This window comes from Homo sapiens, chromosome 2 (genome assembly GCF_000001405.40).
Source record: "Homo sapiens chromosome 2, GRCh38.p14 Primary Assembly".
NCBI classification, from domain to species: domain Eukaryota; kingdom Metazoa; phylum Chordata; class Mammalia; order Primates; family Hominidae; genus Homo; species Homo sapiens.
Window position 1 is genome coordinate 88,341,078 of NC_000002.12, and position 15,367 is coordinate 88,356,444.

The 15,367-nt window shown below is 47.0% G+C and overlaps 5 annotated features.

Moving 5' to 3' along the window:
• Nucleotides 9,231–9,860: an enhancer, noted in NCBI's record as "H3K27ac-H3K4me1 hESC enhancer chr2:88649827-88650456 (GRCh37/hg19 assembly coordinates)". NCBI's record gives its function as "activates a minimal SCP1, AML or CMV promoter by ChIP-STARR-seq in naive H9 embryonic stem cells {active_cell/tissue: H9 hESC(naive)}" and the evidence as "EXISTENCE:reporter gene assay evidence [ECO:0000049][PMID:30033119]".
• Nucleotides 9,853–10,147: an enhancer, noted in NCBI's record as "tiled region #3520; K562 Activating DNase unmatched - State 4:PromP". NCBI's record gives its function as "activates a minimal TATA promoter and a strong SV40 promoter by Sharpr-MPRA in K562 cells {active_cell/tissue: K562}" and the evidence as "EXISTENCE:reporter gene assay evidence [ECO:0000049][PMID:27701403]".
• Nucleotides 10,965–11,113: a silencer, noted in NCBI's record as "fragment chr2:88651561-88651709 (GRCh37/hg19 assembly coordinates)". NCBI's record gives its function as "represses an EF-1alpha promoter that drives an FKBP-Casp9 reporter gene in an ReSE screen in HepG2 liver carcinoma cells {active_cell/tissue: HepG2}" and the evidence as "EXISTENCE:reporter gene assay evidence [ECO:0000049][PMID:32094911]".
• Nucleotides 12,262–12,762: an enhancer, noted in NCBI's record as "H3K4me1 hESC enhancer chr2:88652858-88653358 (GRCh37/hg19 assembly coordinates)". NCBI's record gives its function as "activates a minimal SCP1, AML or CMV promoter by ChIP-STARR-seq in primed H9 embryonic stem cells {active_cell/tissue: H9 hESC(primed)}" and the evidence as "EXISTENCE:reporter gene assay evidence [ECO:0000049][PMID:30033119]".
• Nucleotides 14,280–14,910: an enhancer, noted in NCBI's record as "NANOG hESC enhancer chr2:88654876-88655506 (GRCh37/hg19 assembly coordinates)". NCBI's record gives its function as "activates a minimal SCP1, AML or CMV promoter by ChIP-STARR-seq in naive H9 embryonic stem cells {active_cell/tissue: H9 hESC(naive)}" and the evidence as "EXISTENCE:reporter gene assay evidence [ECO:0000049][PMID:30033119]".

Consider the following 15,367-nt stretch of genomic DNA (forward strand, 5'->3'; position numbering starts at 1 on the left):
AATGATTTTCTTCACAGAATTGGAAAAAAACTACTTTAAAGTTCATATGGAACAAAAAAAGAGCCCACATTGCCAAAAGAACAAAGCTGGAGGCATCATGCTACCTGACTTCAAACTATACTACAAGGCTACAGTAAACAAAACAGCATGGTACTGGTACTAAAACAGAGATATAGACCAATGGAACAGAACAGAGCCCTCAGAAATAATACCACACATCTACAACCATCTGATCTTTGACAAACCTGACAAAAACAAGAAATGGGGAAAGGATTCCCTATTTAATAAATTGTGCTGGGAAAACTGGCTAGCCAAATGTAAAAGCTGAAACTGGATCCCTTCCTTATAACTTATACAAAAATTAATTCAAGATAGATTAAAGACTTAAATGTTAGACCTAAAACCATAAAAACCCTAGAAGAAAACCTAGGCCATACCATTCAGGACATAGGCATGGGCAAGGACTTGATGACTAAAACACCAAAAGCAATGGCAACAAAAGCCAAAATAGACAAACAGCATCTAATTAAACTAAAGAGCTTCTGCACAACAAAAGAAACTACCATCAGAGTGAACAGGCAACCTACAGAATGGGAGAAAATTTTTGCAAGCTACCCATCTGACAAAGGGCTAATATCCAGAATCTACAAAGAACTTAAACAAATTTACAAGAAAAAATCAAACAACCCCATCAAAAAGTGGGCAAAGGATATGAACAGACACTTCTCAAAAGAAGACATTTATGCAGCCAACAGACACATGAAAAAATGCTCATCATCACTGGCCATCAGAGAAATGCAAATCAAAACCACAATGAGATACCATCTCACACCAGTTAGAATGGCGATCATTAAAAAGTCAGGAAACAACAGGTGCTGGAGAGGATGTGGAGAAATAGGAACACTTTTACACTGTTGGTGGGACTGTAAACTAGTTCAACCATTGTGGAAGACAGTGTGGCGATTCCTCAAGGATCTAGAACTAGAAATACCATTTGACCAAGCCATCCCATTACTGGGTATACACCCAAAGGATTACAAATCATGCTGCTGTAAAGACACATGTACATGTATGTTTATTGCGGCACTATTCACAATAGCAAAGACTTGGAACCAACTCAAATGTCCATCAATGATAGACTGCATAAAGAAAATGTGGCACATATACACCATGGAATACTATGCAGCCATAAAAAAGGATGAGTTCGTGTCCTTTGTAGGGACATGGATGAAGCTGGAAACCATCATTCTGAGCAAACTATCGCAAGGACAGAAAACCAAACACCGCATGTTCTCACTTATAGGTGGGAATGAACAATAAGAACACTTGGACACAGGGTAGGGAACATCATGCACCGGGGCCTGTTGTGGGGTGGCGGGAGCGGGGAGGGATAGCATTAGGAGATATACCTAATGTAAATGACGAGTTAATGGGTGCAGCACACCAACATGGCACATGTATACTTACGTAACAAACCTGCATGTTGTGCACATGTACCCTAGAACTTAAAGTATAATAATAAAAGAAAAAAAAAAAAGAAAGTAATAGCTCCAGAAAGCAGCAACCACCTAGGAATGGGATAATTAAAGGAAGAGTATTAGTACTGGGATGTGCAAATTTGAAGAAGAGTTCTATAGAGCTGGCACCAAGATGTCTGAGAAAGAAGGATTGCTGTTCTGGTGCTGGTGCCTCAAGACCTCAGAGAAGGAACCACGAGGGGCTGAGACTCAGATTTCTGAAGACGATGCATCCATCACCTGGGACTTGCTGGTGTCACTTCATGGGCACAATGAAGCTGATTCTGAGAATATGGGGGAAAATGAAACTGAAAACCAACCACTGCCACTGGAACCAACTGTGAGAAAATGCTGTCGTGATGACGCTGACAGGAAAAAGGAGCAAACAGGAAGGAGCAGATCCCTTCCCTTCCTTCAGCCTCCCAGCCTCCCACTGGCACCCCTCTGGGCAAAGTCTAATGGAGAGCCAGCTGGCAAAGCAGACATGTGGTGTGCAAGGTCTCAGGCCCAGCTCCCAGAGCAGAGTATAGACAGGTGCATTGAAAATGAGCAACAGCAGCTAAATAAATGGGAACACAGGAGACCCAATATAGGAAACTTGGGAAAGCATTTCTGAAATGACAGTGAAGGGAAGCTCCAAGGTAACAGTGCAGTCTCTGTTTACCCATTCTTCTGATTTTGAACCCCAGAAGTTTAAGAACATAGTTTACAAAGACGAAATATCCTTTGAGCAGCAGGGAAGTGGGAGAAGACAAGTGGGCAAAGGCAAAAGTTTCTTCAGCTGCTGGAGGGATGGAAAAAGAGACAAATTGTTAACATGTAAGTTGTTTTCATTCTTATGACACATGCAAAGCACTTCTCACAATGCTTGGCATGTAGCAAGTACTCGACAAACATAAAATACTATTTATTACTATAAGTAGTAAATAGTAGAAGTTATAGAAAAGTACCTGGTACCAGACAGGCTCCCAGTAAATGAAGATTATTCCTACTGTTCGTATCTGTATATGACAGAGCATAAAACTTTAGAAAAAAGAGCCCACCAAAAGGATTTATACAGCCATAAAAAGGAATGAAATCATGTCCTTTACAGCAATGTGGATGCAGTTGGAGGGTGTTATCCTAAGCGAACTAATGCAGAAACAGAAAACCAAATATCGATGGGTGCAGTGGCTCATGGCTGTAATCCCAACACTTTGAGAAGCTGCAGCAGGATTGCTTGAGCCCAGGAGTTCAAGACCAGACTGGGCAACATAGTGAGTGAGACCTTGTATCTAAAAATAAATAAATAAAATCTAAAAAAGGAAAAAAAAAAACAGGTATTGTGTGTTCTCACTTAAAAGTGGAAGCTAAATCTTGGGTTCACGTGGACATAAAGATGGGAACAATAGATACTGAGGACTCCAAAGGGAGGGGGGAAAGGGCTGAAAAACTTCCTATTAGGTACTATGTTCACTCTCTGGCTGATGAGATTGATAGAAGCCCAAACTTCAGCACCACGAAATATATCTTTCTTTTTTCTTTGAAACAGGGTTTCACTCTGTCACCGTGGCTGGAGTGCAGTGGCATGTTCACAGCTCACCGCAACCTCAACCTCCTAGGCTCAAACAATCCTCCCACCTCAGACTCCCAAGTAGTTGGGATCACAGGCATGCACCATCACACCTGGCTAATTTTTTAATTTTTTGTAAAGATGGGGGTCTCACTTGGTTGCCCAGGCTGGTCTTGAACTCCTGGCCTCAAGCAATCCTCCTGCCTCAGCCTCCCAAAGTGCTAGGATTACAGGCATGAGCTACTGCACCTAGCCAATATATCCTTGTAACAAACCTGCACATGTACTACCTGGATCTAAAATATAAATTGAAATTTTAAAAATATATATTTAGTAGAATCTTTGGATGTGTCAATCTGAAGAACCCCAGATCCATCCACTTTTATCCTTCCTTTAGCCATGAACTTGCATTGTGGTAGGCAGAATAATGATCCCAAAAGATGTTCACATCCTAATCTCTGGAATCTGTAAGTCATTTTACATAGCAAAAGGGACATTGCAGATGTGATTAAGGATCCTGAGAGGGGGAAGGTATCTTGGATTATCCAGGTGGGCCCAACTGATTACATGAGTCCTTCAAAATGGAGAGCCCTCCCAGGCTGTGATCAGAGGCACATGTGATAACTAAAGAGCCAGAGATATGGCAGTGTGAGAAGGACTTAACCTGCCACTGCCAGCTTGGAAGACATAAGAAGGAGCCATGAACCAAGAAATGCAGACAGTCTTCAGGAGCTGAAAGTCAAGGAAATGAAAATCGATTGTCCCAAAGAGCTCCAGAGAGGGATGCAGCCCTGATGACAGCTAGACCCTGCCTGATGACACCTGTGTTGGAATTTCAACCTACAGAACTGTACGATAATAAACTTGTGTTGTTTGAAGCCACTAAGTATGTCAGAAGTTTAACAATAGAAAACTAATGCAAGCATTGTAGTTCCCTTTGCTCTCTTCCTGGCTACACTTGGGGATAAGTCCCTAATCTCAGCACTGAGCACTCAGTGCTCTGATGTCCCTATACCCTGGGAATCAATTTTGGAATTAAGCAAATGGTTACTTTTTTCCCATGTCCCCAGCAGTGGGAGAGAGTCCCAGCTGAGCAGGCAAACAGGGACTCAAAGGGCTCATCACCAGGCCTTGTGATGACCTCAAAGGGATGAGCATGCTTTTCTTTTTTTGAAATGGAGTCTTGCTCTGTCGCCCAGGCCAGAGTGCAGTGGCACAATCTTGGCTCAGCGCAATCTCCACCTGCCGGGTTCAGGCGATTCTCCTGCCTCAGCCTCCTGAGTAGCTGGAATTACCGGCACCTGCCACCATGCCCGGCTAATTTTTATATTTTTAGTAGAGTTGGAGTTTCACCTTGTTGGCCAGGCTAGTCTCGAACTCCTGATCTCAAGTGATCTGCCCAACTCGGCCTCCCAAAGTGCTGGGATTACAGGCGTGAGCCACCATGCCCGGCCAAGCATGCTTTTCAACAACAGTGTCTCCTCAGCTCACCTGAGCTCCATTTCCTTCCTGGGAACATCTGGGCATTGATCCCCCTTGTTCTGCACCACAGTGACAAAACATCTACCTTTAATTTATTAAAGTGAGACTCCTCCTTGCTGTGGCCTACAAGGCCTGTAAAGTCTGGTCTGCCTCACCAAGTTTCCTTCTGACCTCTCCTCACCTCATCGTTATGCTCGAATCTCAGCAACTCCCTCCTGTATATTTTCCGGATGACTCTCATGATTTCCCACTGCAGGGCCTTTGCACCTATCATCCCTCTGCCTGGAACAATCTCCCTGTTCTTCATGGGTGGCTGCTTCTCATTCTTTACATCCCAGCTCAAACGTCACCGCCACAGATCCCCTTTTCCCCAAGATGTTCTCTGTTAGGTCGCTGTTCATTCGCTTCACAGCACTTATTACAATTAGAAGGGAATTCACTTTGTGTTTATTCACTTGCCTTCTGTCCCCCTTGGAATGTAAGTTCCATGAGATCAGGGGCCCTGTCTGGCTTGTTGGCTGCTCTTTTCTCAATGCCTGGAAGAGTGCCTGGCAGATCACTGACATGCAATAAATGCCCGTGAAGGAGAGGAAGCCAGAGAAAATAGCCTGGCTATGTCCCCGGTTCCAGGGTCCCTAACATCATCCAGGCTTTACCCCAGGCCTGTCATATTCCAGGTCATAATTGAATGCCTCCCTTGGCTTCTGAAACTACTTCTTGGTGTTGTTTCTTGGCTTTGCCCTTGAACTCTTAGTAGAGCAGGCAGAATCTGGTTCTGCTGACGCTTCGATAATGACCCTGTTGCGTGAGTCTGGACCCAGGAGCATCATTGCTTGTGGACAGGGTCCTGTTCTGACTTTCAGCAGAGTGCTGAGTAGGCTGCCAGTTTTGGAGTCAGAGAACTGTGTTATGAATCAAGGCTGTGCCACTTATCTTGTGTCTTAGTCTTCTCAGGCTGTCATAACAGAATGCCACAGACTGGTGGCTTAAACAACAGAAATTCATTTTCTCACAGTTCTGGAAGACAGAAGTCCAAGATCAAGGTGCCATCAGGGTTAGTTTCTAGTGAGGTCTCTCTTCCTGGCTTGCAGACAGCCACCTTCTCCCTGTGTCCTCACATGGTGTAGAAAGAACGAGCTCTGGTGTCTCTCTCTTCTTACAAGGACACTAGTCCCATTGGACTAGGACCCCTCCCTAATGCCTTCATTTAACTTTAATGACCTCCCTAAAGGCCCTATCTCCAAATAGTCACAGTGGGAGTTAGAGCCTCAACATACGAATTTTGGGACACAATTCAGTCCATAAAATCTTGTGACTAATGCCCACTGTGCTTTGGTGGTCTTGCCTGTAAATTAAGGATGGTAACTCACTCCTCTTCATAGTTACTGAGAGCATAAATAGGGCCAAGAAACTTTATGTGTTCTGATTATTCGATACTGTACAGCAAGCTACCCAAAAACCTAAAAACCTAGTGAATTAAAACAGCATTTTATTTTTATTTAATTTTTTTTTAGACAGAGTCTCACTCTGTCACCCAGGCTGGTGTGCAGTGGCACAATCTCGGCTCACTGCAACCTCTGCCTCCTGGGTTCAAGTGATTCTCCTGACTCAGCCACCCAAGTAACTGGGATTACAGGTGCACACTACCACATTTGGCTAATTTTTGTATTTTTAGTAGAGATGGGGTTTTGCCATGTTACCCAGACTGGTCTCAAACTCTTGACCTCAAGTGATCCACCTGCATCAGCCTCCCAAAGTGTTGAGATTACAGGTGTGAGGCACCACGACTGGCCCTAAAACAGCATTTTTGTTCATGAGTCTGTGGTCTGGGCAGGGATTGGCAGGGACAGGTCATCTCTGCTCCATTTAGCATCATCTGGAGGGGTTGGGGGCTGGAGTCCTCTGAAGCTCACTCTCTCCCATGTTTGACACCGAAGCTGAGAACATTTGAACATCTCAGGACTGGAACAACTGGAGTTCAATGTCTCTCTCTCTCTCTCTCACCCCATCTCACCTCTTCTCTCCCCGTCTCTCGTTTCTGTTTCTCTCTCTCTCTCTCTACCCCCCACCCCTCACCCCGTCTCTCTCCGTCTCTCTTGTTTCTGTAGAAAATGGCCTCAGGATAGCCAGACTTCTTAAACTTCAATACACACATCTCAAGAGAGAAAACCAGGTGGAAGCGATACCTATCACCTTTAAGACCAAGCCTTGGAAGTCAGGGATCATCACTACCCTGCATTCTATCAGCTGAGGCGGTCACAAAGGCCTGCCCGGGTTCAAGGGGAGGGGAAATAGTCTCCACCTCTTTATGGGGGAGAGATAAGGCACGTGAGACTGAAAATACTGTTGGAGCAATTTCTGGAAAACACAATGTGCTACAGGAGTCAAAATGTGACTTGTTTTGGACTCAGTGTCCAGATTGTAACCCCGGCCCTTGGTGGGCTTTCTGTTCCTCATGAGAGCAGTGAAGTCTCATAGCTGTCCCCGACCACCTGCCTGGCTGGGCCCAAAAGACATAGGGAAAGGTTTCTAGCTCTAGAACCAGTGATCTCACGTCTGTTTGCCTTCTTGGAGTTCCTGTGGTTTGTCACACTGCTGTTCATTCAGAAGGCTTTGAGGGATAAGAAACATCTAGGATCGTTTTCTAGCTACAGTTTCTCATTCCCCTGTCTCTGGTCAACATGGATATCCCATCTGAAAGATGTGGGCCTGTCTGTGTTGGCCTAAGGGCTGGAACTGTAGCCCAGGACTTTCCACACCCTCAGCGGGAGTCCTGTGCTCAGCCACGAGCAAATCTCTCCTTCCCCTGCTTTAGCCAGGGGACCCTCCTGAGCCCCCATGCTCAACTCCATCATCACCAGCCAGCTCGCCATATCTTGCACAGGGTCCTCTGCCTCAAACAAATGCCCTTTTAATGAGAGACCTAGTGGCTCCTGTGGCCATGCCGTCTCCTCCCCTTCTTCCTTCTCTTGCTTTCCTCTCTTCCTCACTCACTTTCTCATTCTGCACCAGGCCTTGTTCAAGAATGGAGCCTTACCGTGCAGCCATAAAAAAGAATGAAGTCGTGTCCTTTGCAGCAACATGGATGCAGCTGGAGGCCATTATTCTAAGCGAATTAATGCAGGAACAGAAAATCAAATACTGCGTGTTCTCCCTTATAAGTGGGAGCTAAACGTTACACACGGATGCAAAGATGGGAACAACAAACACTGGGAACTACTGGTGGGGGGAGGGAGGAGGGTAAGTGTTGAAAAGCTGTTGGGTACTATGCTCAGTACCTGGGTGGTGGGCTCATGCATGCCTCATACCTCAGCATCATGCAATATATAACCAGGTAACAAACTCACACATGTACCCCCTAAATCTAAAATAAAAGTTAGAAAAGAAAAAAAAAAGGCCAGGCGCGGTGGCTCACACCAGTAATCCCAGCACAGCACTTTGGAAGGCTGAGGCAGGTGGATCATGAGAGCAGCCTGGCCAACTTGGTGAAACCCTGTCTCTACTAAAAATACAAAAATTAGGTGGGCGTGGTGGCGGACGCCTGTAGTCCCAGCTACTCGGGAGGCTGAGGCAGGAGAATCGCTTGAACCCCGGAGGCAGAGGTCGCAGTGAGCCAAGATCATGCCACTGCACTCCAGTCTAGGCAACAGAGCAAGACTCCGTCTCAAAAAAAAAAAAAAAGAAAGAAAAAAACGGAATGCAGCCTTGAGTCTTTCTGTTCTAGCTGCAGAGGGATCCACCGGAAGTGAGATACAACCTCCCCATTCTAGGAGAGGTGGTGGCCTGGGGCCATAGGGGCCGCCACCCGCTCTGGTTCCCTTTCTCCTGGGGCTCTGCTTGAACTGTGACTGGCTCTGGGTCCCTGAGCACTGTCTCTCACCTCTGCCTGCCCTGACTCAGAAGAAAACCCGCTTTGGGCCAGGCGCGGTGACTCACGCCTGTAATCCCAGCACTTTGGGAGGCCAAGGCCGGTGGATCACGAGGTCAGGAGTTGGGCCAACATGGTGAACCCCTCCTCTACTAAAACCACAAAAATTAGCCGGGCGCGGTGGCAGGCGCCTTGTAATCCCAGCTACTCGGGAGGCTGAGGCAGGAGAATCGCTTGAACCCGGTGGGCGGAGGTGGCAGTGAGCCGAGATCCCACCACTGCACTCCAGCCTGGGCGACAGAGTGAGACTCCATCTCAAAACAACAACAACAACCCGCTTTGTCCTTGAACTTTTTGAAAGGATCTCTGCAGATTTAAAGGAAAGCAACTGCTAGAAGGATAGCCTGAACAACTTTATGTAATTGATGTGTTTCCCTCCTACTTTGGCCACCTTCTGGCTGAAGGTAGGCACGTGCAGGGGCTGATGAGACCAGGGTGAAGGGAAGGAGGTCCTCGCCTCCCTCCTCTCTTGAGTGACACCTGATGGACTTCTCCTTGCAGATGGGGTGGGGCCGCCTTCTGGAGGACTAGGCCAGGTTCAAAGAATACAATATTTCCGATGACCACCTTAGAGTGCCTTTCAGGTGGAGTTTCCCAACTATTGATTTGTGCGCAGTACTAACCTGATAATGTCAAGCAAGGCTAAGCTATGAAATAATTTTACAGAACAGGCTAGAAAAGGTAAACAGATACGAATGCTGCTCTGCCACCCATCGCTGGAAAGCCGACTTTCCTGGGCTTCAGTTTCCTCACCTGTCAGGTGAAGCACTGGGAAGCAAGAAAAAGGACAAGCCAGACTCAGGCTGGCAGGACAAAGGGCCCCGCCGCATGCGCTGGACGCCCCGTTCCCGACCTGAAATCCCTTCAGGAAACTGTCATCGAACTATTTCTTTCCCGAAAGCTTTGCTTCCAGTGGGTCTGGGGAGGAGGAGGGGTGGGAACTGCAGGTGGAGAGGGAGTGGGGGAGGGAAGTTCATAAACAGGCTGGCGCCACCCCTCCCCTCCCCCGGTGGCCGCCCCACTTGGAGGTCTGGGTGGGGTGCTCCTCCCGAGGGCACAGGCTGCCAAACTCCCACCCACTGCCGCCGGCGAAGCCCCCAGGAGACCACAGAGCAGAAGGAATTCAAAGGAGCCTTCTCAGGTACAGGTGTGTGCATTCCAGGCCTGCCAGCCGCCTCCCCCGCCGCCTTCCCGGGCCGTTTGTCCGAAGGCATTATGCAAAATAAAGCCGCCTTGTTTCCCGCGCCTGGTAACCCCGGGCTTCCCGGAGGCTTTCTTGGTGAGAGGGAGGATCCCAGAGCGGCGACCCGGCTGAATCACCGCGAGCCGCGAGCCTTCTTCCTGCCACTTGTTCTGGCCCACCTGAGAATTCGCAGTGGGGAGCAGAGGAAGATCAGACCCAGCTTCTACCTCAGCAAGTGTGGCCCCATAACGCCTGGGCAGCCTCTAGCCAGGAGACCGCGCCTCAAACACCTAGCACTGCGCGGGAGGAGATGGACCTGCGCCACGGCGGCGCCGGCTGGGGGATTGGAATTCAGGCCGCGAACCAACTTGCAGGAAGAGGAGTTCCATGTTGGACCTCTAGGTGGCGCGATTCTTCCCGGGGACGCGTGGGTGAAACCCTGGCTGGGCCTGCGGCTGTGGCATAGTGAGGCGTGGGAAGGGTACAGGGCACAGAGTGGCGCCACTTTTCCAAGTTAATCAAGTCCCACAAGAGCTAAAAGGCAGCCCAGAGACGATAGGTCCCCGAACTGGATTTCAGCATCTGGAGAGGCATAACAGTGGGGCAGAAAAGCCAGGGTCCTAGATCTGGTTCCAGCATGTCCCCTACTGGTGGGCTCCCTTGTCTACTCATTGATTTCCTAGTGCACCCCCGCCCTCTCTCTTCTCTGTCGGTACCAAACTGCTGAACAGGGAACACCTGGATGAATAAGAGAGCATCACTCCTCCCTCTTCCACAGAGAACACCTCCAGCTTGACTCATGGCCTAGAGAAGAAACGTGTGTTGTTTTGAGTTTTCTTGGGGAAAGCAGTTTTATAAGCAGATAATTACAATGCAGTATGATACGGTTATAATAAAAGGCATGTACCAAGTTTTCTGGAAGTTCAAGGAGAGGGAAATTAACTCTTCCTGGGACGTTAAACGAGGTTTCACAGAGGAACTGGGTCCTGATGAAGAGTAGGCGTTTGAACGACAGGAATGATAGAAATTCAGACAATAACTTCAGAATCAAAGACCTTGAAGCAAGAAAGTGCAGACAATAATTGAAGAATGGTATTACTATTTTCAGAAGATGTGAAGATCTACACTGAGAACACAAAAAGAATCATCTGAAAAAGTATTAGAGCTAATTAGACCTGATTACAAAATAACCGGAAAAAAATCGTTTGAATTTTTTTTTTATTCTAGAAGTAAGCAATGAGCAAAAAGGTTTTCCTTTTGGTAACAATAGCAACAACAAGCAAAAGAGCAAGAAATAAAGGTGCAGAATGTAGATGAACAAAATTTCAGCTTTTTTTTTTTTTTTTTTGAGATGGAGTCTCGCTCTGTCGCCCAGGCTGGAGTGCAGTGGAGCAATCTCGGCTCACTACAATCTCCGCCTCACGGGTTCACGACATTCTCCTGCCTCAGCCTCCTGAGTAGCTGGGACTACAGGCGCCCGCCACCACGCCCGGCTAATTTTTTATATTTTTTAGTAGAGACGGGGTTTCACCGTGTTAGCCAGGATAGTCTCGATCTCCTGACCTCGTGATCCACCTGCCTCCGCTTCCCAAAGTGCTGGGATTATAGGCATGAGCCACCGCGCCTGGCCCCAGCACTTTGTATTTTTTTAGCCATTTTGTTCTGTCACCCAGGCCGGAGTGCAGTGGCATGATAGCTCAATTATTGCTCATGGCAGTCTTGAACTCCTGGGCTCAAACAATCCTCCTGCCTCAACTTCCCGAGCAAACAAGAACGACAGGGGCATGCCACCACTCCTGTCAATTAAAAAAAAAAAAATCTTTATAGAGATGGGGTCCCACTCTGCTGCCTAGGCTAAAACTTCAGCACTTTCTGAAGGACACTTACAACTCTAAATGGAAAGACACAAATATACATAAAACTTTAGTGTGTAATAAGGGGAGGCACTTTCAAATCAACATGCTATGCATCTATTCCCTAAAAAGAATAGAGAGAGAACTGGATAATCATTTGGAATAATTATAAAATAAGATCCCATCACACTCCAAAATCGGTTCCAAAAAGATTCTAGTATTTCTCACCCCTTGCTTGTGACTTTAAATCTTCTTGCCAGAGTTCTCATGAGCCAGGCCTTGCGTCTGTAGGTAAAGGCCTCATAAATGACGGAAACCCATGGACACTGACTCTGGCAAACCCAGACTCTGCCTGAGTTCATGAGTAAGGAAAATGAGGAGAAAGTATTTGCCTTCTTTGAGGAGTCAGGCTGTTATATCCTGACACAGAAGCCTAGAATACCAGAGGTTAAAACCAGCAGATGACATTCTGCCAGATTGCTGAGGAGAGAACTTTGTACCACAGAGATCATAGTACTGTATTTCACATATATTGTCTTTCTCTGTTATGGGTTGAGTTGCATGCCCCAAAAAGATATGTTGAAGTCCTAACCCCCAATACTTCATTCAGAAGGTAACTTTAGCCAGGCGCAGTGGCTCATGCCTATAATCCTAGCACTTTGGGAGGCCGAGGCGGGCAGATCACCTGAGGTCAGGAGTTCGAGACCAGCCTGGCCAACATGATGAAACCCCGTATCTACTAAAAATACAAAAGTTAGCCAGGCGTGGTGGCAGGCGCCTGTAATCCCAGCTACTTGGGAGGCTGAGGCAGGAGAATCAGTTGAACCCAGGAGGTGGAAGTTGCAGTGAGCCAGGATCTCACCACTGCACTCCAGCCTGGGTGACAGAGCCAGACTCCATCTCAAAAAAGAAAAGAAAAGAAAAGAAAAGATGGTAAGTTCATTTAGAAATAGAATCATTACAGATGTAATTAGTTAAGCTAAAATGAGGTCATACTCAATTACACTGGGTCCTTAATTCAATATGACTGTTGTCTGTATAAGAAGCACACAAGGGGCCGGGCGTGGTGGCTCCCAGCTCTTTGCGAGGCCGAGGCGGGTGGATCAAGAGGTCAGGAGATCAAGACCATCCTGGCTAACATGGTGAAACCCCATCTCTACTAAAAAAATACAAAGAAATTAGCGGGGCATGGTAGCGGGCGCCTGTAGTCCCAGCTACTCGGGAGGCTGGGACAGGAGACTGGAGTGAACCCGGGAGGTGGAGCTTGCAGTGAGCCGAGATCATGCCACTGCACTCCAGCCTGGGCAACAGAGCGAGACTCCATATCAAAAACAAAAGAAGCAGCACACAAGGGGCCGGGCACAGTGACTCACTGGCTCACGCCTATAATCCCAGCACTTTGGGAGGCTGAGGCAGGCGGATCATCTGAGGTCAGGAGTTCAAGACAAGCCTGACCAACATGGAGAAACCCCGTGCCTACTAAAAATACAAAATTAGCCGAGCATGGTGGCACATGCCTGTAATCCCAGCTACTTGGGAGGCTGAGGTAGGAGAATCGCTGGAACCTGGGAGGCGGAGGTTGCAGTGAGCCCAGATGGTGCCATTGCACTCCAGCCTGGGCAACAAGAGCGAAACCCCATCTGAAAAGAAAAAAAAAAAATGCACACAAGGAGAAGCCATGTGTAGATGGAAGCACAGATTGGAATGATGCACCTACAAGCCAAGGAATGCCAAGGGCTGCCAGCAACACCAGTAGCTAGGAAAGGGCCATGGAACAGATTCTCCCTGGGAGCCCTCCGAAGGAGCCAACCCTGCCAACACCTTGATTCTGGACTTTGAACCTCCAAAACTGTGTGAGAAGAACTTTCTCCTGTTTTAAGTCCTCCAATTTGTGGTACTTTGCTGCAGCAACCCTGGGAAACCAATGCATTCTCTAAAAAAAGAGAAATACAGTTCATGCATTATTTGAGTGAGTTCTTTTAAAGTCTACTAACCACCAAGTAAATGATATTTAATGGAGTCATTCTACTTGTATTTTTAATAAAGTGATGCTGGTAACATAAGTGTGCAAGGCTATTGGCAGGCATATGAGAGGGCTGAGCCCCCCTCTCCCCAGCCCCAACCTGTACCCTGGCTTTCCCTCAGAAGACCAAAAGGCAAGTTGGCTGCCTTCCCAGGCAGCTGCCCCCCAAGGGAAAGCCACCCAAGCTTCCTGCGTTAGTTTGGGGATGCAGTTACCTGCTGAGGAAAATGCCTCCCAAACAGCACAAGAAAAGGAAGGTGGGACATTGAGTAAAGGAGTCTGAGGGTGTGGTATTTGCCACCCAGACCAGCCATTTGCTTTAAGTCTTAATAAATGTACAGGGTAATCTCATCTATTAAGCATGGACCCAAGCTTGTGGGCAGTTTAGGTTTTCCATCCACAGTGTCCTAAATGATACAATGAGAATAACCTCTTGCTGTTGAAGAGAGTGGGGAAGGTCCTCTGTACATCCTGGAACCTTTATAAAGATAAGAGAGGCTGCCTACGGAAATCACACCAAAGATTTCAACTGCAGTGGGAATCTCATTGCTCCAACCCAGCCTAATAGGCTGGATGGAGCAGGTCTTTCTGGGTTGGTTCATACTGAGCCTTCTTCCTTTGTGCCTCCCCTTCCTACCACAAAGGCTTCATATGATTGCCACCTCTGTTTAAAATACTCTTCCCAGTTTTCAAAACACTGTGTCTCCCCTGCTCCTTACCCAGCCCCCTCTTATACGCATCCTTCGAGTCTCAGGTTTAACATCATTTTATGGAGGAATTCTCCATGTGACACCCCATTATTTCTGCTCAAAATTCTAGATAAGGGATCGTTAAATGATAATTCTAAAACTATATGATTAAGTATGAGTTCAGGATTTCCAGGAAGAAGGTAACCTAAATATACTGAAATCCTCCAGTGCACAACAGCTTCACCCTTTACAATGCCTGGATGAGCTTACAAAAAGAAAGTCAAACAACAACAAAGGGAAATCCTTGTGAGAAGAGGCAATGCTGGGTAATCATCAGCTCTGAATCCTCAGCTGCCCTGAGGGCACCATTTCACCCCTGGTGCCTAGAGTTTAGACCACTTGCTGGGAACCAGACAAAGAGCCAGGAGTAAGATCAGAGACCCGCTTTTAAAGCTGGACCTCCACAAAGGGCTACACCATAGGGAAACAGTGAGACAGGAAAAAAAAAAAAAATCTGTATAGGAAGAAGACAGCATGGAAAAGAGTTTATCTTGGCCGTGGCTCTAGGTAGGTTCAGGGAGAGTCTTCTCAGAAAACTCATAGTCAAAGGCCTGAGTTTCTTTAGGTGTGATAATGGTAATGTGGTTTGGGGCTTTTAATAAAGTACTTATCTATTAGATGTACACAGTGAAATATTTATAGGTACAATTATAAGTTGTTGTAATTTACATGTAATGATAAGTGAGGAGGATATGGATAGAGGCTATCAGTGGAAACTAGAATGTCCATGAGTTGACAATTATTGAAGCTGGGTGATGGAGAGATGGAATGTTATACTATTCCAATTTTGCATATGTTTGAAAATTTCTATCATGAGTTCACATGGTTTAAAAATATTAAATGGAAGGCCAGGCACAGTGGCTCACGCCTGAAATCCCAGCACTTTGGGAGGCCAAGGCGGGTGGATCATTTGAGGTCAGGAGTTTGGGACCAGCCTGACCAACATGGTGAAACCCCGTCTCTACTAAAAATACAAAAAAATTAACCGGGAGTGGTGACGCATGCCTGTAATCCCAGCTACTCGGGAGGCTGAGGCAGGAGAATCACTTGAACCCAGGAGGCAGAAGCTGTAGTGAGCTA